At 41.5% G+C, this 25,591-nt stretch overlaps 1 long non-coding RNA gene across 2 annotated transcripts; it reads left to right on the forward strand.

Moving 5' to 3' along the window:
- LOC105371256 (uncharacterized) lies at positions 339-16,703 on the forward strand. Of its 2 annotated transcripts, none has more exons than XR_933560.3 (4): positions 339-459; positions 1,010-1,237; positions 2,532-2,679; positions 6,229-6,780. It is a non-coding gene; the product is annotated as an uncharacterized LOC105371256 (long non-coding RNA). The 2 variants fall into 2 exon arrangements; XR_933559.3 differs by lacking the exon at positions 6,229-6,780 and adding an exon at positions 14,844-16,703 and having other exon boundaries at positions 418-459.
- The last annotated feature ends 8,888 nt before the right edge of the window (positions 16,704-25,591 follow it).

Consider the following 25,591-nt stretch of genomic DNA (forward strand, 5'->3'; position numbering starts at 1 on the left):
TGATGCTAAATTGTGTTACTGAAGTAGTTATTTTAACATATAGTCCCATGCTGATATTTGAGTTCCTGCTGCTTTACATCCTCACCAAAACTTGACATTGCCAGATTTTATTAACATTTTGCCAATCTAGTGGTACAAAAATGAGTGATTTTCATGATGCTGATCATTTATCTTTCCCTTTTTCCCACTAGGGTTGAGCACTCATGGTAAACTTCTCTAGTTTTCAATCACATTTCCTTCTTGGTGAAGTTTCTATTTGTGTCACTTTGTCTTTTGCCAATTTTCTATTGAATTATTTTTATTTTATTTAATTAATTAATTTATTTATTTATTTTGAGACAGAGTCTCATACTGTTGCCAGGCTGGAGTGCAGTGGCATGATCTCGGCTCACTGCAACCTCCGCCTCCCGGGTTCAAGTGATTCTCCTGCCTCAGCCTCCTGAGTAGCTGGGATTACAGGTGAGTGCCACCACGCCCAGCTAATTTTTGTATTTTTAGTAGAGATGAGGTTTCACCATGTTGGCCACGATGGTTTCAATCTCTTGACCTCCTGATCTGCCCACCTCGGGCCTCCCAAAGTGCTGGGATTACAGGCGTAAGCCACCACTCCTGGCTGAATTATTTTTTAATATCTTAATTTTCAAGAGATCTGTAAGTATTCAAATAATTAAACTTTTATTGACTGATTATTGATTGATTGTCTGGAAATTATATTCTCCCAGTTTGTGGATTTTTTTTAACTCTTTTTTTTCTGATGAATGGGATTTCTTAATTTTAATGTAGTCAAGTTTGTTAATCTTTTACTCTGTAGTTATTTACTATTACCATTATTATTACTGGTCTTGCATAAGAAAATTGTTCCCACCCAGTAGTCATAAAGACATTTTTATGCATTTTCTCCAAAAAGCATTAATATTTTGCCTTTTATATTTAGCATGGTTAATCTGCCTGGGGATTTTGACATATAGTATGAGGCAGGGACCTAATTTTAATTTTTTTTTTCATGTAGGTAATGAATTTCCCCAGTCCAACTTATTGAATAATCATTGTCCTGAAGTAGTTAATGGATTTGAGTTACAGCTCGGCAAATTCCACAAAGAAAATAAAACAGCACAAGGTCCCCACAGAGCGACGGGAGGCAGGAAAGGGGAAGTCCATGCCACCAGAGGAATAGTTTCATTGAACGCTTGATCTTTGAGCCGAACTCAGAAGGAGCCACCCCTGTAAAGGTCTATAGGTAAAGATTTGCATGCACAGAAAACAGTGTGTGCAGAGACATGAGATGAGAATGAGCTTTGCAAATCTGAGGAACAGAAAGATTTGGAGGGAAGAATGTTGTGAGTGAAGAGAGCCTGGTGTAAGTTGAGTCAACGCTCAGAGATGGCATTTTACATAGAATATCATAGGCAATGAAAAAAATTGGGATTTTACACTAAGCATAGTGAAAAACATTTGGGAATTTTAATCAGGAGAATTGTGTGACTTAATTTATGTTTTTAAAAGATCACACGGGCTGGAAGGTGAAGAATGTACCATAAGGGCCAAAAGTGAAGAAAAAGTCCAAGCCAGAGAGGATGATGGTTAGGATGGGAAATTGAGGTGTGCTTCTGTGCATCAGCTCATCTGGCCAGCTCACACGCAGAGCACATTCCTGGGATCCCCAGAACTGGCCTTTTCTCTGCTTCTCCTGTGCTTTGATCACCAGTCCCTCTGCCTGGGAGTATCCTCCCTGAAACTGAACAGAATCCTGTCCATCCTTCAAGGCCTTGTTCACACGCTTGTTCTTCCCAGTAACCTCCTCCTTCTGAATGGAATAAATCTCTCCACCTTCTTGGCCTTGTTCTCATGTTCCTTCTCTGCCTGGTGGCTCTTTGCTCCTCCCACCTTGTTTTGGGGTTACTTATGTGCCTAAGTTCTAGTCTTTATCTTGTTGCCAGCAAGTTGAGTGACCATAGGCCAGTCTCTTTCTCTATCTGAGCCTCAGTTTCCCCATATCTAAACAAGCAGGTTTTGAGTAGATCTTCTCTGAGATCCTTTTCGGGCTGTAACACTCTGTATTACATATCTCCTGCCCCATTAGATTTAAGTATAGTGAGTTTAGGCAGCTTATTTTCATTTTTATCATTCTGTCCAGGCTCTTACTGAGTAAATATTGATTATTATTATAATGTATGTAATCATCATTTACCAATAAGCGTTCACTCTGAGCTCTAGATGATGTTTTATGTAGGTCGTAAAAAAGAAAAAAGGCAGAAATTTAAGAGTGTAGATTAGCATTCTGAGTTCCACTGCCTGCTTTGTTGAGTTTCTTCTCATGTATGGATTTGGGGTCCCTCCAGGATCTGATCATATGAGTGACTACAGACTTGCTTAACTCTCCTTTTTGGATGGTGGGAACAGGCATCTACATGAGGCTAGTATCTCTCTACCCAGATGTGTGCTGTTAAACTAACCTTGTCATTAGCTTGACTTGACAAGTGGCCTGGTGACTGGTTACTAATTATCTAGTCCTTTTTATATTGTTGTTACAGGCTGATTAAACTTGATGGGTTCTGGAGATGCCGAGGAAGAGAGGCAGCATCACCTACTTGCCTGGACTCTAGATGGGCAGCTGATCATCTTGGACAGACTGCTGGATGCTGTACCCAGGGTGGTCACTCCCAGACACCATAGAAAATGGTATGTGTCCTCCCTTCTCTCTGCAGGGGTCTCTGTGGGTCATGGAATGGCTTTCTTCGGTTCAGTATTTCATGGGCATCTGCATGTCTCTGCCAGTCTCACAGATACAAGCCATGATCTCTGCTTTCAGGAGCTTTCGAGAGAGAGGGTATTGGCCTGTGCCTAGAGCACTCTGATCTCAACTTGACAGGTGCCTCCACAGACATATACCAAGTTCTGTGTCAACACAGAGATCCACATGATGAAATCAGAGGTCTTTTCTGAAGAGGCAGCATAGAGAATGGCATTCCAGGGAGATGGAAGAGCACCTATACATATAAACACGTAAAGAATGTTTCTGACCAGGTACAGAGGCTCACACCTGTAATCCCATCACTTTGGAAATCTGAGGCAGGAGGATCACTTGAGTCCAGGAGTTTGAGAACAGCCTGAAAAACATGTCGAGAACCTGCCTCTACAAAGAAATGCAAAACATTAGCCAGACTTGGAGGCGTGCACCTGTAGTCCCAGCTACTTGGGAAGCTGAGACGGGAGAATCACCTGAGTCCAGGAAGTTGAGGCTATAGTGTGCCATGATAACACCACTGCACTCCACCCTGGATGACAGAGTAAGACCCTGTCTCAAAAAAAATAATAATCATAATAATGTTTTATACAAAGCAAGGACTTCAGTGAACCTAGAAGCATGAGGTGTGTTAGGGATGGGAGAGAGGCCAGAAAGTGTGAGTGATGCTCAGATTTGAAGCTTACCCAGTGGGCAGTGGTGACCCAGCCGAAATTTCTAGGCAGGGGGCTTTAGGGGCCTTAGTGTGGGTGGCAATGCCAAGGAGAGTCCTGGGAGAGGCTGGAGCAGGAAGATATCGTGGGAAATTTCAGGTGAGAAAGAACCAGGGCACGGGGGTTAAAATGAAAGGGGATAATTTGGGAGCCATTTAAAGGGAGGGCATAAGCAAGGCTTGTTGACCACTCCGATGAAAGAGAGGGAACTAAGGTTCAAGGTTGGGCAACTGGGTGAATAGAGATGCCAACTGAGACAGTGATCCTGCAACTCCCTGCCCAAGACCCCCCATGGCTTCCCATAGGCCTAGAATAGAAGCCAAATTCCTCACTGGGGCCTCCCCATTCCATCCTGATGTGGTCCCTGCTTTCAGGCCTCATCTCCTGCCAATGTTCCCCGGCAGGAGAACATTACCTTCAACCAAGGTTGACTCATTACCTTCAACCAAGGCCTCTCCAGTCTGTTTCTCTACCAATCAGGCTTCTTGCCACCTTCCAGATATTGCACCTGTAGATTTCTCTGTGGCAAATGCTCTGCCTGATCTTCACATGACTGACTCCTTGTCATGATTCAGGTCTGTTCTGGTCATTTCTTCAAACACGTTTTTCCTTCTCTGGCTCCCCCACCCCCATCTAATGTGCCCCAATGCTCTCTACTTACCCCTTTATTTTCTGCATAATGCTTATCACTATCTGAAAAGATTGTTTCTTCTTATTATACACACACTTATTTCCTATATTCCCATCTAGAAGTTATGCTCCATGAGAAGGGTCAGTATGTTGTGCAATTCCAAGGACACTAATCACAAAGAACACAATGCAATTGCTGCCTCCTGCATTGTATAATCTGGTAATCTTGTCTGTAAGAGCAGTGACCTCCTCTGTACTGTTCACCTCCATGGCCCCGTGCCTAGAATGGTACATGGCACATAGAAAGGCACTAAGGAAATATTTACTGGATGAATAGGGAAGACAGGAAGTAACACAGCTTTTGAGTTTTGCAGGAACAAAAAAATACAATTGAATTTTGTTTTGGGCATGCTGAGTTTGAATCGCCCAAACAACTTCCAGGTTGATATGTGTAGGAAGAGACGGAAGATATGAGTCCAAGAAAAGACATGTCAACCTATACATGAAGGCCTGACCTTCAGAAACATTCTCAGAGACCTAGAGTCTATTATTTCAAGTAAGAATGTAATTTTCATGGATGGGCGTTTATTTGTCACTTGTCTTAGGTGATTTTTCTTGCCTCATCCATCAGATATTCAATTACAGACTTCGCTTGAAACTTCTCAGTTTGGGAAGTTATGAGACACATTCAAGCGCGTTTGTAGATTATTAGGGAAGTAAGAGATAGTTACGGTGCTTTATGCTGGGGCATAGAGAGAGCAGTGACCCAGCTCTCTCACCCTCATTCTTTTAGTGACATTGCCAAAGTGAATCATAGATGGTCTGGACATTGGTCAAAAGAAAACTTTGTGTTTTTATGAGCTGCAAATACATAATGCCACCACTTTTATATCCTTTGTCCTATGCCCACACAAATCAATCTCAGGTATTTTTTTTAATTAGCTCATAGGAGCCTACAATTCCTCAACACATCACTTCAGGCAGATACAACTAATCTCTCAGAGTTGGCACTGGGATTGAAACCTACTAGTTATACTTGTCACATAATGAGACTTACTTCTAGTTTCTACTTAGAAAAGCACAGAAATATTAACAACATCAATGAAACTTCCTCTCTGGTGGGTCTTGCACCACTCAGCCTGTCTATCAACTGAGAAAACTCTTTTCTCTCAGAAATGGCTCAAGCATAGTCCTGCCTAAGAGTGGGAGAACAGACATGACAAGATCCTTTCCAATCCTGGGATCCGTTGATACTAAATTGGAAGATAGGGAGAAGCAAGGACTGCAAATACAGAAATCAAGCATGAGTAGAGACTGGGAAAAGTTTACTCTCTCATTTCATAAATATTTATTGAGAATTTACTATGGGTCAGACACTTCCAGGCATTGAGAATACAGCAGTGGGCGAGACAAGAACACAGGCCCAACATTGTATTCATGAAACTTGATTTTTAGTTTTGGGAAAAATATGCATACATGCACATGTATATTATGTGCATGTGTATACATACATACGTACATGTATGTACATATACGTGTCTGTGTATATACACATATAACAAGGCCACAATGTCAAGCAGGGATTATTGACATAAAACTAGAAATAAGATAGAGGGATGTAAGGGGTGACAATATTAAATCAAGTGGTCAGGGACCGGGTGTGGTGGCTCATGCCTGCAATCTCAACACTTCAGGAGGCTGAGGCAGGAGGATCGTTTGAGCCCATGAGTTTGAGACCAGCCTGGGCAACATAGTGAGACCTCATCTCTACAAAAATAAACTTGGGTCAATAAATCAATAAATCAGGTGGTCAGAGAAGGCCTCACAGAGGCGGCACTGAGTGAGATCTAAATGACAGAAAGAAATGAGCAGTGCAGGCTCTCGGTTCAGTACATCCTGGCAGGTGGAACAGCAAGCACAAAGGTCTTGAGGCAGGATGGAGCTGCTGGGTCTGAAGAACTGGGGAGAAGCCAGTGTGGCCACCAGGTTAGGCAAAGGAAAGTCAGTGATGTGGCAGGGGCCAGATTACTTGGAGCTTCATAGACCACAGTAAGGAGTTGGGATGTGATTCTAATTGTGATAAGAAACCCTCAGAAGTTCTAGGCAATGCAGAAATAGGATTTTGTTTTTGTTTTTTTAAAGATCTTCATGGCTGCTGTATGGAATGTTGATCACAAAAGAGCGAGGATGGAAGGGGAATGTCCAGGTAGGGGAGGAAAAGAACGTTTGCCATAGGAAAATGTTCCAAGTCTTTCAGACTGCTCTAACTGTATCCATATACCATGGAGGGGTGGCTGTGGTCCCGCTGCCTGCCTGTGTGCTCTCACCACAGTTGCCTGTGTGCTCTGTTTTGTGTGTTTGGCTTCCAGGTCTGCTGCATTTGACTCTTTGTTGTCAGTGTAGTAGGTGGCTTTTTGTGATTTCTGGGAGTGTGGCTCCCCGTTCATATTTTATCTTGATTTTGGCCAGTCTTCTCTTATGGTTAATGTAACATTAATGTTCTTATTTGCTGTGATAAATTGGGTCTTTTGCTTATACCAGTAGAAAAAGCCTTCAGGTCTCAAGTGGAATCACGCCATTACCCCAATTCTTTGTCCCCAGAGAGTTCAGTGATATTAAGTCCCCACCCAAACCTCATCTTGAATTGTAATCCCCATGTGTTGAGGGAGGGAAGTGATTGGATTATGGGGGTGGTCTCCCCATGCTGTTCTCATGATAGTGAGTGAATTCTCAGGGTATCTGATGGTTTTATAAAAGGTAGTATTTCTAGCACTCTCACATGCTCTTCTCTCTCCTGCCGCCATGTGAAGAAGGTTCTTGCTGCCCCTTTGCCTTCCATCATGATTGTAAATTTCCTGAGGCCTCCCCAACCATGTGGAACTGTGAGTCAATTAAACCTGTTTTCTTTATAAATTACACAGTCTTGGGTATGTATTTACAGCGTGTGAAAATGGACTAATACATTCAGCAAGACTTGTTCAGTCTGAATAGTGTGTTTTTAGCTATGAATGTTTGATAACAGTGGCTACTTTTTGTGTGGCACTGTACAAGTTGCCATAAAAATCTGTGTATATTTTGCAAGTATCATATCATTGGGTCCCCAGGTAGATGGAAAAGTTGTTAATATTATCCCATTTGACGGATGAAGAAACAGATTCAGAGAGGTTAGACAGATTTTTTAGAAATGCTTTGTACGTGATTAATTATTGCTCTTAATTTTAAGCTTTTCTTCTTAAGTATTCAGATTTTTACAAATAATAATTTTTCAAATATTCATTATCTGTTATCTCCTGAGGACAGTTCCGTAGCATAAGTTACAACTTCCTCTGTGGGCTGTGTTTATATAGAGACCAATATTCTCCTTAAGTGCCTAAACTGTCTGCATAAATTTCCAAACACAATGCACTCCCATATGTGCCATTCACTGTGCTGAGAGCTGCAGGAACGATATCAATGAATGAGCCACACCTTCTGCCCTTAAAGAACAAGCAACTGGTGGCAGGGAATTGGGATGATTCTCCAGTGGTCAACACTGCCTGTTAATAGAAGCCCAACTCAAAGCAGTTTAGGAAAAATGGCAAAGTATTGGCTCATGTAACTGGAAGTCCTAAGGTGCCTCTGACTGAGCATGGCTGGACCCAAGGGGCTTAAATGATGTCAACAGGACTCCTTTTTGCTTCTCATCTTTCTCTAACTGTAACATCTTCTCTTCTATATACTGTCTTCATTTTCAGCTAGATTCTTCCCTCATAGTGGAAAAGATACTCCTCACAAATGTCAAGCATATGTCACAGCTAGGAACCAGCTAGGAACACAGGTCACACTTTCCTTTCTTCCAAAAAGAGTATTCCAGGGAAGTGCAAAGAATGATGGTAAATTCATCCAACACTAGTCACATGCCCATCCCTCAACCAAATACGTTATCCAGACACATAATAGACACTCAGTGATTGCAATGCCCTGTTGGAGTTAAGAAGACAGTAATGGTGCTTAAATAATATTAATATGTCCAGCATTGTATTTTACAAGCATCATGATATCTAGTGCTCATAACATTTTATGAGGTAGTATATCAGTCACTTTAGGCTAAGTTATGCTTCTGTAACAAACATTCCCAAATGTCAGTGGCTTATAACAACAGAAATTTATTTTTTGCTCACGTTAATGCTCATAACAGGTCAGCCTCAACTGTGCTCCATGTTATCATCATCTGGAAACCCAGGCTGAAGGAGAAGCCCCTATCTGAGGATTGGGTGTCTCCTGGGAGAGGGGAAAGATAAGATGACAGAACCACATGAGGCTCTTAAAACTTCTCCTTGGAAGTGGCACATCTCACTTTCACCAACATTTCATTGGCAAAAGCAAAAAATATAGCTAAGTATGAAATCTAATAGGCAAGAGTGTATCATCCTGTCAAGAAGGAGAACAAAAGTATTGAGGAATAACATGATCTCCCAAAGGCAGGAAATGTGATTATCCCATGCGTTTGTCTCCTAGGCCTGCCATAACAAATTACTGCAAACCAGCTGGCTCAGAGCAACAGCAGTTTATTCTTTCACTCTTCAGGAGTCAGAAATCAAGGTGTGGGGCCCTACTCTCTATAACTTTTTCTTTTGCCCTGTTCTAGCTTTCAGTGTTTGTTGGCAGACCTTGGCATTGCTTGGCTTGCAGCTGAATCATTCCAGTCTCTGCCTCCATCATCACCTGGCCTCCTCTCCTCTGCCTGTGTATTTTCTGGAAGTCTCCTCTCTGTATGTCTGGGTACAAAACTACCTCTTTTTTTTTTTTTTTTTTTTTTTTGAGATGGAGTTTTGCTCTGTTGCCCAGGCTGGAGTGCAGTGGCACGATCTTGGCTCACTGCAACCTCTGCCTCCCAGGTTCAAGCAATTCCCTGCCTCAGCCTCCCGAGTAGCTGGGATTACAGGCGCCCACCACCACGCCCAGTTAATTTTTTGTATTTTTAGTAGAGACGGGGTTTCACTGTCTTGGCCAGGCTGGTCTTGAACTCCTGACCTCTTGATCCACCTGCCTCGGCCTCCCAAAGTGCTGGGATTACAGGCGTGAGCCACCGCGCCCGGCCAAAACTACCTCTTTTTATAAGCATGTCATCATTGGGTTAAGATCTACCGTAATGCAGCATGACCTCATCTTAACTTGATTTCATCTACAAAGACCCTACTTTCAAATAAGGTCACATTCACAGATAGCTCATGTCAGGACTTGAACACATCTTTTGGAGGAACACAATTTAACCTGCAACATCCCATTTTTAAAATGAGGAAACTGAATCACAAAGCAGCTAAATACTTTGCTTGTGAACACACAACTTACCAGTGTGGGGCGATGTTAGAATCACACCTAAGTGGCTTGGCTCAGAGCCTGTGCTCCTAACCAGTCAAATATGCTAGATAAAAATTTCAGGCAGGGTTCTGTGGCTCATGCCTGGAATCCCAGCACTTGCAGAGGCCAAGGCATGTGGATCACTTGAGACCAGGAGTTCAAGACCAGCCTGGGCAACATAGTGAAACCCCGTCTTCACACATACACACACACACACACACACACACACTAGCCAGGAGTAGTGGTACACCTCTGTAGTCCCAGTTACTCAGGAGAGTGAGGTGGGAAGGTCACTTGAGCTCGGGAGTTTGAGGCTGCAGTTAGCTATGATCATCCCACTGCACCCTAGCCTGGGTGACAGAGCAAGACACTGTCTTAAAAAAAAAAAAAAAAAAACAAAACAAAATTCAGAATCTTGGGTTCTTCTTGGGTTCTTGTTTCAGCTATGCCTCTCACTAATTACAACCATGGAGAGGACCTCAGTGGTGATGTTTCTCAAATGGGCATGAATTACTGACCTTGTCTTTCAGGATTGCTCCAAGTTTAAAGCAACATGAGAGACTAGAAAGCCTTTAGAAAAAGTAAATACAAACTACCATCAGAGAATACTACAAACACCTCTACGCAAATAAACTAGAAAATCTAGAAGAAATGGATAAATTCCTCGACACATACACCCTCCCAAGACTAAACCAGGAAGAAGTTGAATCTCTGAATAGACCCATAACAGGCTCTGAAATTGTGGCAATAATCAATAGCTTACTAACCAAAAAGAGTCCAGGACCAGATGGATTCACAGCTGAATTCTACCAGAGGTACAAGGAGGAACTGGTACCATTCCTTCTGAAACTATTCCCATCAATAGAAAAAGAGGGAATCCTCCCTAACTCATTTTATGAGGCCAGCATCATCCTGATACCAAAGCCAGGCAGAGACACAACCAAAAAAGAGAATTTTAGACCAATATCCCTGATGAACATTAATGCAAAAGTCCTCAATAAAATACTGGCAAACGGAGTCCAGCAGCACATCAAAAAGCTTATCCACCATGATCAAGTGGGCTTCATCCCTGGGATGCAAGACTGGTTCAATATACGCAAATCAATAAATGTAATCCAGCATATAAACAGAACCAATGACAAAAATCACATGATTATCTCAATAGATGCAGAAAAGGCCTTTGACAGAATTCAACAACCTTTCATGCTAAAAACTCTCAATAAATTAGGTATTGATGGGACGTATTTCAAAATAATAAGAGCTATCTATGACAAACCCACAGCCAATATCATACGGAATGGGCAAAAACTGCAAGCATTCCCTTTGAAAACTGGCACAAGACAGGGATGCCCTCTCTCACCACTCCTATTCAACATAGTGTTGGAAGTTCTGGCCAGGGCAATTAGGCAGGAGAAAGAAATAAAGGGTATTCAATTAGGAAAAGAGGAAGTCAAATTGTCCCTGTTTGCAGACGACATGATTGTATATCTAGAAAACCCCATTGTCTCAGCCCAAAATCTCCTTAAGCTGAAAAGCAACTTCAGCAAAGTCTCAGGATACAAAATCAATGTGCAAAAATCACAAGCATTCTTATACATCAAGAAGAGACAAACAGAGAGCCAAATCATGAGTGAACTCCCATTCACAATTGCTTCAAAGAGAATAAAATACCTAGGAATCCAACTTACAAGGGATGTGAAGGACCTCTTCAAGTAGAACTACAAACCACTCCTCAATGAAATAAAAAAGGACACAAACAAATGGAAGAACATTCCATGCTCATGGATGGGAAGAATCAATATCGTGAAAATGGCCATACTGCCCAAGGTAATTTATAGATTCAATGCCATCCCCATCAAGCTACCAATGACTTTCTTCACAGAATTGGAAAAAACTACTTTAAAGTTCATATGGCACCAAAAAAGAGCCCGCATTGCCAAGTCAATCCTAAGCCAAAAGAACAAACCTGGAGGCATCACGCTACCTGACTTCAAACTATATTACAAGGCTTACAGTAAACAAAACAGTGTGGTACTGGTACCAAAACAGAGATATAGATCAATGGAACAGGACAGAGCCCTCAGAAATAACACCGCATATCTACAACTATCTGATCTTTGACAAACCTGAGAAAAACAAGCAATGGGGAAAGGATTCCCTATTTAATAAATGGTGCTGGGAAAACTGGCTAGCCATATGTAGAAAGCTGAAACTGGATCCTTTCCTTATACCTTATACAAAAATTAATTCAAGATGGATTAAAGACTTAAACGTTAGACCTAAAACCATAAAAACCCTAGAAGAAAACCTAGGCATTACCATTCAGGACATAGGCATGGGCAAGGACTTCATGTCTAAAACACCAAAAGCAATGGCAACAAAAGTCAAAATTGACAAATGGGATCTCATTAAACTAAAGAGCTTCTGCACAGCAAAAGAAACTACCATCAGAGTGAACAGGCAACCTACAGAATGGGAGAAAATTTTCACATCCTACTCATCTGACAAAGGGCTAATATCCAGGATCTACAATGAACTCAAACAAATTTACAAGAAAAAAACAAACAACCCCATCAAAAAGTGGGCAGAGGACATGAACAGACACTTCTCAAAAGAAGACATTTATGCAGCCAAAAAACACATGAAAAAATGCTCATCATCACTGGCCATCAGAGAAATGCAAATCAAAACCACAATGAGATACCATCTCACACCAGTTAGAATGGCAATCATTAAAAAGTCAGGAAACAACAGGTGCTGGAGAGGATGTGGAGAAATAGGAACACTTTTACACTGTTGGTGGGACTGTAAACTAGTTCGACCATTGTGGAAGTCAGTGTGGCGATTCCTCAGGGATCTAGAACTAGAAATACCATTTGACCCAGCCATCCCATTACTGGGTATATACCCAAAGGACTATAAATCATGCTGCTATAAAGACACATGCACATGTATGTTTATTGTGGCACTATTCACAATAGCAAAGACTTGGAACCAACCCAAATGTCCAACAATGATAGACTGGATTAAGAAAATGTGGCACATATACACCATGCAATACTATGCAGCCATAAAAAATGATGAGTTCATGTCCTTTGTAGGGACATGGATGAAATTGGAAATCATCATTCTCAGTAAACTATCGCAAGAACAAAAAACCAAACACTGCATATTCTCACTCATAGATGGGAATTGAACAATGAGAACACGTGGACACAGGAAGGAGAACATCACACTCTGGGGACTGTTGTGGGGTGGGGGGAGTGGGGAGGGATAGCTTTAGGAGATATACCTAATGCTAAATGTCGAGTTAATGGGTGCAGCACACCAGCATGGCACATATGTACATATGTAACTAGCCTGCACATTGTGCACATGTACCCTAAAACTTAAAGTATAATAATAATAAATAAAATAAAACACAGAAAAAAAAGATATTACATGGAAAAAAAAAAAAAAAGAAAAAGTACTGAGTTCTTCACACATGGAAAGCAATGTGGTGAGTCACGGATCAAGAATGAGCTAGAGTCCTGAGATGTTTCCTACAGTTATTACCACAAACCTACTGCTTCTGAAGAGCAACAAGTGGCAATATTTGGTAAAGCAATCAAATTGGTCTCCAGCTTTCCTGCTCCAAGTTTCTCAGTAATAAGCATGAAACTGTAATATGCAGCAAAAGAGGCAGTTACATAAAAATATATGTATTTTTAACGTTTTAAGGATGTGGGTGGAACCAGAGGGTTGAATGGTACCCAGATGATGTGCGGGCAGGATGTGCTGGATAAAGCAGGGTTAGGATATCCCTAGACATTTTGGTTATTAGAGCAAATAGACTTCTAGTCCTTTGTGATAATACCAACTCTTTCTGACGGCTCTTGGTATCCATCATATATGTTGATCAAATAATCTATTGATGACTCTCCTCACTCTTAGATTACCCTTGCTCTTATACTTTCCCTGTACTCCCCCAAAGGGAACATTGTGCAATCATCTAACCTATGAGGTCTTCTTGTCCATCTACATTCATTCCGTTAGTGATGCTACTCACTGCTCTGGCTTCCGCAGTCACCTGAACATGAAACCCAAAAGTCAGAGCAGGTAAGCGGTGTCTAACTCAACAACAACCATGGGCAGCATTCCACTGGCTTGAGCCTATTGATTCTTTTCGGTTTCTCCCCCTCATCACTAGCCCTTGTCTCTAGAACCTAAGTGTGGATGATGAAGTATGATGGGGATGTCAGTCTGACATTGAAGTATGCAACTCTGCATGTTTTCCTCCTACATCCTCTCTCCCTAGCCAGAATTTAGTGGACTCTTTTCTCCACACCTCAGCTTCTTCTTTTATTATTGCTTCTTGAAAAATATAAAAGTTGTGGTTGAAAAATTAAAATAAGGCTAGGTGTAGTGGTTCACACCTGTAATCCTCCATTTTTGGAGGCCGAAGTAGGAGGATCACTTGAGGCCAGGAGTTCGAGACCAGCCTGGGCCACACAGTGAGACCTCCGTCTGTACAAAAAAAATGAAAAACTAGCCAGGTGTGGTGGTGCATGCCTGTGGTCTGAGCTACTCAGGACATTGAGCTGGGAGGATCACTTGAGTGCAAGAGTTTGAGGCTGCAGTGAGCTATGATCATACAACTGCACTCCGCCTGGGAAGTAGAGAAAGACCCTGTCTCAAAAAAAACAAAAAGCAAAAACAAAACAAAGCAAAAAGTTAAAATCATACCCCACCCCATGATCCAGATATAGCTCATGTTAAGGGTTTGTGTATATCCTTCTAGATCTTTGTCTGTGGACATGCACACACATGTTTCTGGACATTACACCACATCCCCAGCCTCTTTTTTTTTTTTTTTTTTTTGAGACAGGGTCTCACTCTGTTGCCCAGGCCAGAGTGCAGTGGCACAATCACAACTCACTGCAGACTTGACCTCCCATCTCAGCCTCCCAAGTAGCTGGGATCACAGGCACGTACCACCGTGCCCAGCCAATTTTTGTAGAGATTGAGTTTTGCCATGTTGCCCAGGCTGGTCTCAAACTCCTCGGCTAAGGCCATCTACCCACCTCGGCCTCTCAAATTCTAGGATTACAGGTGTGAGACACCATGCCCGGCCCCCAGCCTCTTATCTCCATGTCTTCTTTCTTTCTTATTTTTGCTTTCTACTGTTCTTATTCTCCCCATAACCCTTATGGCTTAGGCCTCTTGAATCAACCCATGAGGACAACACATTTACCTAACACCAGGGCTGCTGCATATGGTTGTGCACTGCACAACTCCAGGGGGCGCTGTAGACTTAAAGCCCTTGTGACTGCCTCTTCTTGGCATTCCTCCAGAATAATACATGTCAGTATTTGTCAGTCTTGCGTAGAGCACTTTATAGATTTCAGTTTACAAAACATTTTATTTGACCCTTATAGCAATCCTGGATGGAAGACCAAGCAAATAAAATGAGCTGTTTTCTCATGAGCCAGTGTGAAAGACTCAGGTCGAACCAACCGTAAGGAGTCATGGACATCTTGTGTGTCTCTTCTCAGACTGTTTTCCAATGGGGAAAAGGGTGGAGGGTGCTCAGTCTCAAACTAGCCTTGAAAGAAGATGAAAAGACGTGACCAAAGGTGACAAGAAGAACAAGAAAAGGTTGGTGAAAGAACCATAAAACTTCCCTAACATGAAGACATTAAGATGCTGCATGCAGAAGAGGTGGGGCTTGTAAAAGGTGAGAGTAAAGACAAATATATAAATGAAGATATTTGGAGGCGATGGTCAAGGCCAGAACTTCTCTGCCTAGATAAGGAGGACATCTCACCCCTCAGGCTGAGGTTGTTGCTGAGAGACAGAGTGGAATGGTATTTCCATTTTTCTAACTCTCAGAATCCAGCCCTCCAATCCAGCCCACAAATAATCTTGCCTAATTTTTTCATGCGAATAGAAATCTTGCATTTTTTGTGAACCTTGAAATACATTTGGTTCTCAAGTTCGGGGGATCATGTTATATTTTGAAATAAAAATTGTCGTAATTGGATTAGGCTCAATTGCAGTTGTAGTAAGACTGGCTTTGGGTATGGAATATAAATGAGGTCAGCTTAAAGGAAGTAATTCATTCCTCTAATGACAACATCTTGGTCTATGAAATGAAAAAAGATCAAAGCTCATTCAAAAATAAATGGATTTAATGGAACAGTAGTTAAAGAAGTCTGGAGAATTCATTTTATTTTCATTGTATAATATCTGTTTCTCATAGAGTTGTCTTGTTCTTTAGTACTTTTTATTCTTATGACTGTGCATGGGTTTGATTAGCTTAATTAGAGTTAATGTCTTGGGAGCAGAATGTGGGACTGTGAAAGTTTGGGTTCCTGAAGACTTTGAAAAGAGAACTGTTGGCCTCGTTCTACATAAATTCAGAATCGAAAATGTCTGATGGTTATTATCATCTTAAAGTAATTGAAGCACTGCTAAAAATAAAAACCAGAAGGAGAAAAATTGAACCCGAATAAAAGAAATGGAGTTATCCCAGATTTGGATACAATTCTCTCGGCAAATTGAGCTTAAATCTGAAGTCTTAGGAAATAGAATGAATGCCAAAAAATTATTTTTCCCCCTGTGTGCTGTTAACAAGGGCAGTCTCTTCGTTTTCACAGTATTTCCTTCTATTTTCCTCCTGTTGTCTGTGGCTCCACTTTAGGTTAGTAGGGACTTTAGAGGGAAATACCACTTCAGATTAAAGTCTTGTCAGATCTCATTTATTAACTGGCATGGGGTCTGGTGTCCTGGAGCGAGAAGGTCTCCTGAGGAAGCATTTGTTGTGAGCCTCTCTTGCAGGGACTGAGTTTGGAGCAGGACTTTCCAGGAGCCGTCCTGTGTTAGGAGGAGACGAAGTTCCACAAAACTAGGACCCAAGAGAGGATTAAGTATTTTGATCCTAAAAAGAAAAGGGTTGAGGGATGAGGTGGGGAGGGAGATGTTCCAAAATGTTTTACTTTGAGCTGGGCATGGTGGCGGGTGTCTGTAATCTCAGCTACTTGGGAGACTGAGGCAGGAGAATCACTTAAACCCGGGAGGTGGAGGTTGCAGTGAGCCAACATCACGCCACTGCACTCCAGCTGGGTGACAAGAGTGAAACTCCATCTCAAATAAATAAATAAATTAATTAAAATGTTTTACTTTGATAACCTGGCCTTTGCATTCTTTGCATTATGTGAAATAAGCTTTAATCAATGGTAATATATGAAATAACATTGCTTCGGTCATTCAATAAATATTTATAAGTTAAAAAAATATATATGTGTGTATTTGTTTGTAAGCCCACAATATAGAATGCCTGTACTCGGGGCTGGAGAAAAGTGGTGAATGGAACTTAACACATTGCTGTCTTTTTGGCAGTATTAGGGTGTCTCTGTGTGTGTGTGTGTGTGTGTGTGTGTGTGTGTGTGGTGAATGTGGTGAGTGTTAGAGAGTCAGAGAATCAACAAATAAAAAACAATTTCTAATAGTGATCTGTGCTAGAAAGGAAATAAACCAGTTAATAATATATAATTGGACTGTTCTTTCCATACCTTTTAATAACATGTTTAGCATTTGAAAAATTAACATGTTTAAGTAACTTTATAGATTTTTTCTTATCAATAATTATTAATTACCATCAGATATAATATACATTGATAGAATATTTGAGCAACTGGAAGTTTTTATTTCATGCCACTTCAAATATTTCTTCACAGTATCTATTGCTTTTCATGGCATTTCTGAACCAAAGAGGCTTTTATATTTTTCGGTCTCCTTTTAGTGTTAGATTTTTTTTCACCTGTTAATTCCTTGAAAATGGAGCAATCCATGTAGAGTCCATTCATTTGGTTATTCAGCGCACACTAATTCATACCTTCTCTGTGCTAAGCTGGGTGATGTGGGCTGTCTCCAGAGTTTGTGTGACAGCCTCTGTTAATCATAATGTAATTCCAGAACACTATTATTTCATTCAGCCGGGAGATGATAGACAATTTACTCATTTTTACAATTAATTTTCCTATCCAAATCCTTTTTCCAGACCAGATTGAAAGTTAGCATTCAGTCCAGCCCAGGCTCAGTTCCTGCCAGTTCCTCTTCATGGAGCTTTTGACCATTTGTTTTTTGTTCCAGTCACGGCAACCTGTAGAAAGGTGTGGACGGGGAAAGCCCTTCAGAAATACAGGAGCCCTGACATCTCCTTGTCCCTGGAGAGGACGCTTCAGGGGAGGAAAACATTTAGTAAATGACAAAGGATACTAACCTCTTGGAAAGAAAGTTAGGGTGGACGGAGACTTTAAATATATGCCTGGGGGAAAATTTTGAAATCTTTTAATGCAAAGAAGAAAACATTTCCAGCAATAAAATGTAAAATATAATGAAAAAGTCTAGAAGAAGCCCTTCCCTGCATAGTGTCCTGCCATTTACAGACCTTCTTCTGAGAGGAGAATATGGCTACCTTATCTCAGAGGAGCTGCTTTAGGTACCGAGACGGGGAGCCAAGGTTGGGGTACATGGACACTCTCTCTTCCCTCCCTGCTAGCTTTACTTAGGCATAACTGACAAATAAAAATTGTATATATTTAAGGTATACAATATGATGTGTTGATATATATATATGTTGTGAAATGATTACTACACTCAAGCTAATTAACATATTCATCACGTCACAGAGTTACCGTGTGTGTGTGTGTGTGTGTGTGTGTGTGTGTCTGTGTGTGTCTGTGTGTGTGTTTGAGAGAGAGAGAGAGAGATGGGATTACTTAAGGTTTGCTCTCTTAGCTAATTTCAAGTATACAATACAACATTATCAACTATAGTCACCACATTGTATATTAGGTCTCTGGAACATATTCTTCTTATAACTGAAAGTTTGTGCTCTTTGACCACTGTCTCCCCATTTTCCTCATCCCCCGAACCCCTGGTTACCATCCTTCTCTTTTGAAGCCAGGCATTGGTGGAATTTTATTAGGATCTTGAATTGTCTAATTTATCCCAAAGAATGGAAGTTCCAGTGATTCATACAGGTACTTATTATCAGTTTTTCATCTTTACAGTGTTTGTTAGGAGTCTGTTGTCTATCTCAATGTAACAAATTACCCCAAAATATTGTGTCTTCATGCAGCAAGCATTTATAACCTCACAATTGTGAGGTGGGGGCACCAAGAATCTGGACATACCTGAGCTTGAGTCTCTGCGTCAGGGTCTCAAAGTGGGACTGGGGGAAAATCCCCACAGGCAGGTCCCAGTCCTTGCTGGCTGTTGGTAGGGCTTTGGGATGTGGGCCTGACAGCATGGAGCTACTGACAACATGGCAACTTGCTTCTTTGAGGGCAAGAACTTTGAGAGAGAGAGAGTGTGAGACAGACAGAGATAGAGAGAAAGAGACCCAGAAAGAGACGTGAGAGCCCGATTCTTTTGTAACCCAATCTAAGTAACATCTCATCACTTTTGCTGTGTTTGTGTTCTTTCCTTTAGAAATGAATCACTAGATTCACGCCTCACCCGAGGGCAGAGGATTATACAGTAACAGGAGACCAGGCTCATTGGGGGCTCTTTCAGAGGCTGCATACCACAAAGTTTTCACTTTTCCTCTCTCTTTAGATATTTACTGTCCAGCTCATAAGAAATATAATAATGACCTTGGAGTTGGTGATGATGGTGGTGGGGAGGTATCATTTTCTCAGAAAAGCCTTCACTAGTTACACCCTGTGGCTAGAGTTTGTCTCTTCTAGGATAACTTGCACATCTCTATAAAACTAAACTTGCATTGTCCATTTTCTGTTTGTGTGAATCTACACACTGCAATAGGGTAGGCTTATTTAACCCTGCTTTCTCAATATTTCCACACTCTTTGGTATGCAGTCGGTGTTTAATCATTATTTGCTGAATTGAATGAAATGGTGAATGAATTATTAAATATGTAGAGAAAAAGGTCACGCTTTTTCACCTTCATGAACTTATGAACAACATCCCCTTTTAATAACTTTAACACCTCACACATCCTTTCTTTCACCTCCATTAGAATCTTCCCGGTTGGCAGGGAGGACGTCTCATTTCTCCATCAGTTAAGGGTATTTTCATAGTGTTTCTTTGTGTGTCTTCTAGGAAAACAAAATTCTTTCCTGCCTCTAGTATACAATTACAGCATTAAATATTCCCTTAAATATCCACTTCCATGATTCTGATATGTGCCCATCTCCCAGGGGGTGGTACCTTTCCTCCCCCAATTTCAGAATTACTGCTCCAGTTAATCTCTGAACCCTTTTACAACTCAAAATTCTGCAGGCCAATTCGTTGCCAACATTTGGTCAGGAGATGAGTGGAGAAGAGAGGGATTTAAAAAATATATTGGGCAGCTTTGTTCTTAAGCTGGTATTGGTGCCATTATGGATCTGGAGAGGTTTTGTAGTCAGATTTTGATTATTTGCTAGTTTTGGCAACTGTTGAGATGTTAGATCTCATATTGTTTCTATCATATTTTATAGTTTCTTGTTTAACTCTTTGCTGAACGTTTTAGACACACATCAAGACTCTCAAGCTTGATTTAAAACAGAATTGGCAATTGTGCCTCTCTTTTTACTTCAGGCTCTCCTGGCAGGACCTGACTCCAGGTTGTTGGGCAATGTTAAATCCCTATGCTGTGTTAGGGGATGGTAGTGCACTGAGTGGCCATCGTGATCTCAAACACAGGAAAAGACTTTACTGCATTTAAAGAAGGTAGTGCATTTAAAGAAGATTGGAATCCCCACAAGTGGGACCAATCAATCTGTATTGGCTTTATAAATTTATTCTTATTTGACACTTTGATACTTCTCTTTGAAATGCCTGACCCTACATGTTTCTTTTTAAATTATTACAGATTTCCCAAGATTGTTTACCATTCTGCTTTATGCCTTCCTTTGATACTGTCCTCTGGTCAAAGAAGCTCCATAACCCTCCCACCCCTGATGATCCCCACCACCATTGAGTTCAGTCTATGCATTTTAAAACTCCATCTTCAGGAACTTTTGAGGAAACTCTTACCTCCCCACACCCTCACTCCAAACAATAGTGCATTGGAGGTGATTTCAAATACAGTTCATTGAGGCTGAGGAAATGGACAAAAACTTCTGTGTGTTTGCCCTTAAAAAGAGAGGCTGCTTGCCTGGTTGAGTCTTTGACAACAGGCTGTGTTTCCTACCAGCTCTTAACTGTGGGCCCACACTGACATTTTTGTAGCCACATATTACATGATTGGTTTTTGATTTTTCAGTTCATAGCTTAAAATCACATTGATAAGAATATGACCTCCAAGCATTGGAAAATCAACTCCAGGTCCTGAATTCTCTGCATGCCAATGCTCTAAGTCACATGAGCAGAGTGCCGTGTTAGGTACATTACATAAACCATGCAGACTCTAGGTTAAATGGTTCTGGATTTTGTAATGTGAAAAGACCTCTGGTGACACAGCTGGGAATGTAGGTAATAGGTGTCACTTGACTATTATTGCTATATGCCTAAGAGCTGTTCGGAGGTAATCATGGTAGACATTAGCTTATTAGTTGCCACACCAGCAAACATTCTCTCTATCCCTCTTCACGTCATCCCTTGCACAAGTTAAGGTAGTACAATTTGCTTAACAGAGAAAAACCAACAGCTCAGCAGCTTGACATCACAGAGATCTCTTGCTTGGGTAAAATTCAATTGGAGGTGGAAGTTGAAGGGAGGCTCTGCTCCAGGCAGTCATTCAGGTATTGAAGTTATTCCATCTGTTATCCTATTCTCCACTAGGGTTTTAGAATCTTTTCCATTTATCCAGTGAATGGGGAAAAAGAGAGTGCAAAGAATTTTGTGGAAGATTTTCATGGGTCAGGGCAAGAAGTAGCCAACATTCACTAGCCATAACTCTATCACATGGCCCAAAGAGGTTAGGAAACGTGGTCTTGCTGTATGTATGTCTAGAATGAAAAAGCCCAGTGCTGTCCCTAGACCTGACACAAAAGGCCTCTGGCCTGTGCCCTCAGCTTGAGAGAGTTCTACAAATCACAAACATATGCATAAGAATACACTTATGACAGAATACATAGCTGCCTCTATCATGTGGATCTGGTGCTTAGCCCTGGCACAGCATGACCTAGTCTGCTTCTGTGGCTAATACAGTTCAGGCCCCAGGGAAATGCTTCTCCACCTCTCCAGTCATGTTTCCTCAAAACAACATGCAGATGGGCCTGAATGCCAGGAAGATCTGAGGGTGCCCCACTGTTGAAGTCAGAGAAAGACAGTGCTGTGGAGAGCAGGAAGAACTCAGCGATGGAAGCTTTTAGGTAACATAAAAGACAAATTACACACATCTTCTTCCCAGATAGGAAGAATGTGGTAGGTTTTGGCATAACAAAACATTATTCCCACGAACAAGGAGAACCCCTTCCCTGCTTCTCTTTGTGCTCTCCTGGGTGACATCAGAGGGACTCACAGGCAGCTTCACCCTTATTCTTCAATGTGTTGTAACTATGAAGGCATTTTTCAAGGTAGAAGTGGGGTTGCCAGATTAAGCAACTAAAAATTTAGGAAGTCTTTTTAATCTGGCAACCCAGGGCAGGTAGAACATATTTTATTAAACTGTTTGTTAGCTTGATTGATAACTTAAAAATCTTCATACATATGGAGGGTGGGCTTCTATTTATATTCTTTCCTGGGATCCCCACATATTTAGGGATGAGCCTGGGCCCAAGTTTTGTTTGGGAGCTTCACAACTTAGAGGCTATCACTTCCTTTCCTGGCTGTAGGAGTGGATCAAGTGACAATGCTAAACAAACCAGCACAGCCAACCTCCTGGTCCAGAGGATCACACGTGAATAAGCTGATCTGATATAAGTGATTCTTTGGACTTTTTCCTGGGAATTAAGGACAAAGTTATTCCTGGTTTTGCTGCTGGCTTTGATTAAAGAACGCATGGACTAAGGAGGTGCCAGCAGCCGTTTTAAACCACAAGAGGAGCCACTTACAAAGACTCCCTGTGACCCAACTTTAGTCAAGCTCCTCTGAGCTCTCTTTTCACCTAGGCCTTGACCTTGACCCCTGGCTTGTCTTTGGCCTGCCCAGCCGAGTTTTGGTAAGAATCCTGCTAAATTACTTCCCACCCTTGATATGGCATCACACTTGATATCAAGTTTCTCAACCCTCACTTTCCTGCAATTAGCAAGAATCTTGTTAGGCCAGTTTAGCAAGAATCCCCTACCCCTGATGTCTCTCCTCTTAGTAATTTCCAATCCACTGACACCCTCATCCTGTTCCTTGGCTATAAATCCCCACTTGTCCTTGTTGTACTCAAATTTGAGCCTGATCTCTCCCCACTACTGCAATACTCATGAATAAAGTCTTCTTTACTCCTTTAACTAGTTTTGCAATAATTTTTTTTCTTTCCCACCATCCTTAGGATTAAACTGACACCCAAGAAAGTAGAATAGAAAAAACAGAAACTAAGTTCTTGAAGCTGAGATTGAGCTGGCAAATCAAGTCTCATATGCATGAGTCTCAAATATGGACTGTTTGTTACAAAGCCAGAAAATGTTTTTATTGATCAAGCAAATTCGAATCATGTATTACGATACTTGCCATTGAAAGATTCTTGACAATGGGAATGATTAGGTAAAGAATATATACAGAGGACTTATAAACACAGCACCCTGCAGAGTGCAAAGAGGGTTTTACAAAAAGAGAAGCGAGATCCCAAGAAGAGGTCTCACAGGGAGACTGTTATGCTTACCAAATGAAAAAGCAAGGCAGATGACCTCTGCTGAGCAACTTCAGCACAAAAGAGCCATGGCTGAGGGAGTGGTGACAGTAATCACTATCCAATGTGTATTGAGAGCTGATTGTGCATTAGACACTGTTCTAAACATGCTCCATGTGTTATCTTACTTATTCTCTCAATAATCCAGTGTGGCAATTATTACTATCTTGGCTTCAAAGAGGAGAAGACTGAGATGCAGAAGGGCTAAGTAACTTTCTCAGCATCGCACAGTTAGACAGCAGTGGAGCTGAGATTTGAACCCAAGTAGAACATAGAGTACAGAGAGGCTTTGGCATTCAAAGCTAAGATGCATTGCACACACCAGCCCTAGAAACAGACAGGTACCAAGGAACCATCCTACTCTTCTTTAACATAAACACAGCCCGCATACCAGATGCTCCTGCCACAGCTGATTGGACCAGGAAGAACACTTATTTGAAGGGGAACCAATCCACTAGTTGGTCAGAGCTCTAGGACTTCTATGTTATGATAGCCAAGCCTGTGTCTTATTTAATACACTCTGGAAGCACAGCTCAGCAGCTTTGCTGCAAAAACTGTTGGAGCCACAGATTTGAAACTAACGAGGCATTTCCATCCCTTATACCTTTGTGTGGCTTCTTCCTCATTCACTGACTTTGGCTCCTCATTGTCACGTTTCCTGAGGCAGCTGTTACAGAGACTCTTTTCCTGTTCAAACATTGTGAATGGATACACTTAAGTGAAGTAACCACCCCTGAATTATGCAGCCTTGACAGTGACTGGGGTCTTGTAGGAAATTGGAAGCTCCTCCTTAGAGATGTGAATACATGTAGTGCTACTAGCATATATCACCACAAATGCCCACTACAGATAAAATAAATGCCTGTAAGTGAGATGGTGAGCAGGTGATTTGGAGATGGACCATCAAAGTATCAATGAGGCACTGAAACTGCCTTTGCAAAGATTATGACATGAGAGAAGTCGAGCATGGCTGAGTCTATCTTGCTTCTAGCCTCACAGGTTGGCTGTCCTCACTTGTTCCTGGGCATACCATGGGAGAAATTTAGTTTATAGTTTAACTTTGAAGCAGGGGTGATAACAGTCCCTCCCTAAAACTAACCCCCTCCTTGCTCAGGGACAGAAGTTATCTTTGTAAAACTAAAGAAGGCCATGAGATTAGGATTATGGGAGGAGCCTAAATTCTGCTAAAAATATAGGCATAGTTAAATGATAACCTGCCATTAGTCCCTGGTTTGCTTTTCCATAATTCCTTGGGGCTTGGGGGTCATGTGGCCAGGGTCACGAGGTTTCTGACCTCCCCAGTTGCTCCTATAGATAACATCACTATTGTAGAATCTGAGATTGGTCTTTTGAGGTGTTTTGCAGACTTTTGTGTTCTCGTAACCAACTCCACCTGGACCTTGACTCATGACTCAACCAGTCTTGTGGTCCCCAACCAGAGGCAGACTCCGCGCAGGAGGACCATTTTCCACACCTCTGCAATTTCATCCCCAACCAATCAGCATCCCCCTGCGTGCCAAATTATCCTTAAAAACCCTAGCCTCTGAGCTACTGGGGAGGCTGATTTGAGTAATAAACTCCTGTTTACTGCTAAGCTAGCTCTGTGTTTATTAAATTCTTTATTTGCTATAATGACTGCTGGTGTGGAAGTCCAAGGCATGCCCAAGAAAGCTGATATCTGAAGGTTTATGTACCTGGGTGCATGACTCTGAGTTGGAAGGGATTACTATCCAAAAATAAGACTAGAAAGATAAGACTGCAGAAAGCTTTCCTTGCTGGGAGAAGTAGTTTGGATTGTATCTTACAAATCACAGGAAGTCATTGAAGCCTGTTGGGCAGAGGTGGGCTAAGAGGAAGAAACTTTGCTGCCTTACGCTTGTTAGAGAGTGAGTGGTCTATTGGATTCTAGTCAGAAGAACCCTGAAAAAACACTGAAGGAGGAATCTAAGGCCCTGGGCTTAGAGTTTAGCTCTCCCAGTGTCTCTGGGCAATGTCTGTAATCCTATTTCTTCATTTGTAAATTGCAATTCTAATCTCTGCTCCTCCCACTTCACAAAGTAGTTTTGAGGGCCAAATGACATGATAGAGTACATGAAAGCACCTAGCCAAATATAAAGCACCATATAAACAGTAATTTGGGTTATTGTGTTATCACATCCAGCTGGCGCGCCAAACCCATATCTTACTGGTGAAATTCAGCTGTTTTCTTGTCATGAAAAGAAGGACCATTAAGATGATCAGACAGAGAGGGGAGAAAGAAAACCAACATTACTTAACTGAGGCTAGAATGCTCTCTTATTGAGAAAGTTACATCATTTTAGACTTCTATGGTAAAGTTTCAATGGTTGCTTTATTTATTAGACATTTACTGGATACTTCCTATGTGCCTGG

This window comes from Homo sapiens, chromosome 16, assembly GCF_000001405.40.
Source record: "Homo sapiens chromosome 16, GRCh38.p14 Primary Assembly".
NCBI lineage: Eukaryota > Metazoa > Chordata > Mammalia > Primates > Hominidae > Homo > Homo sapiens.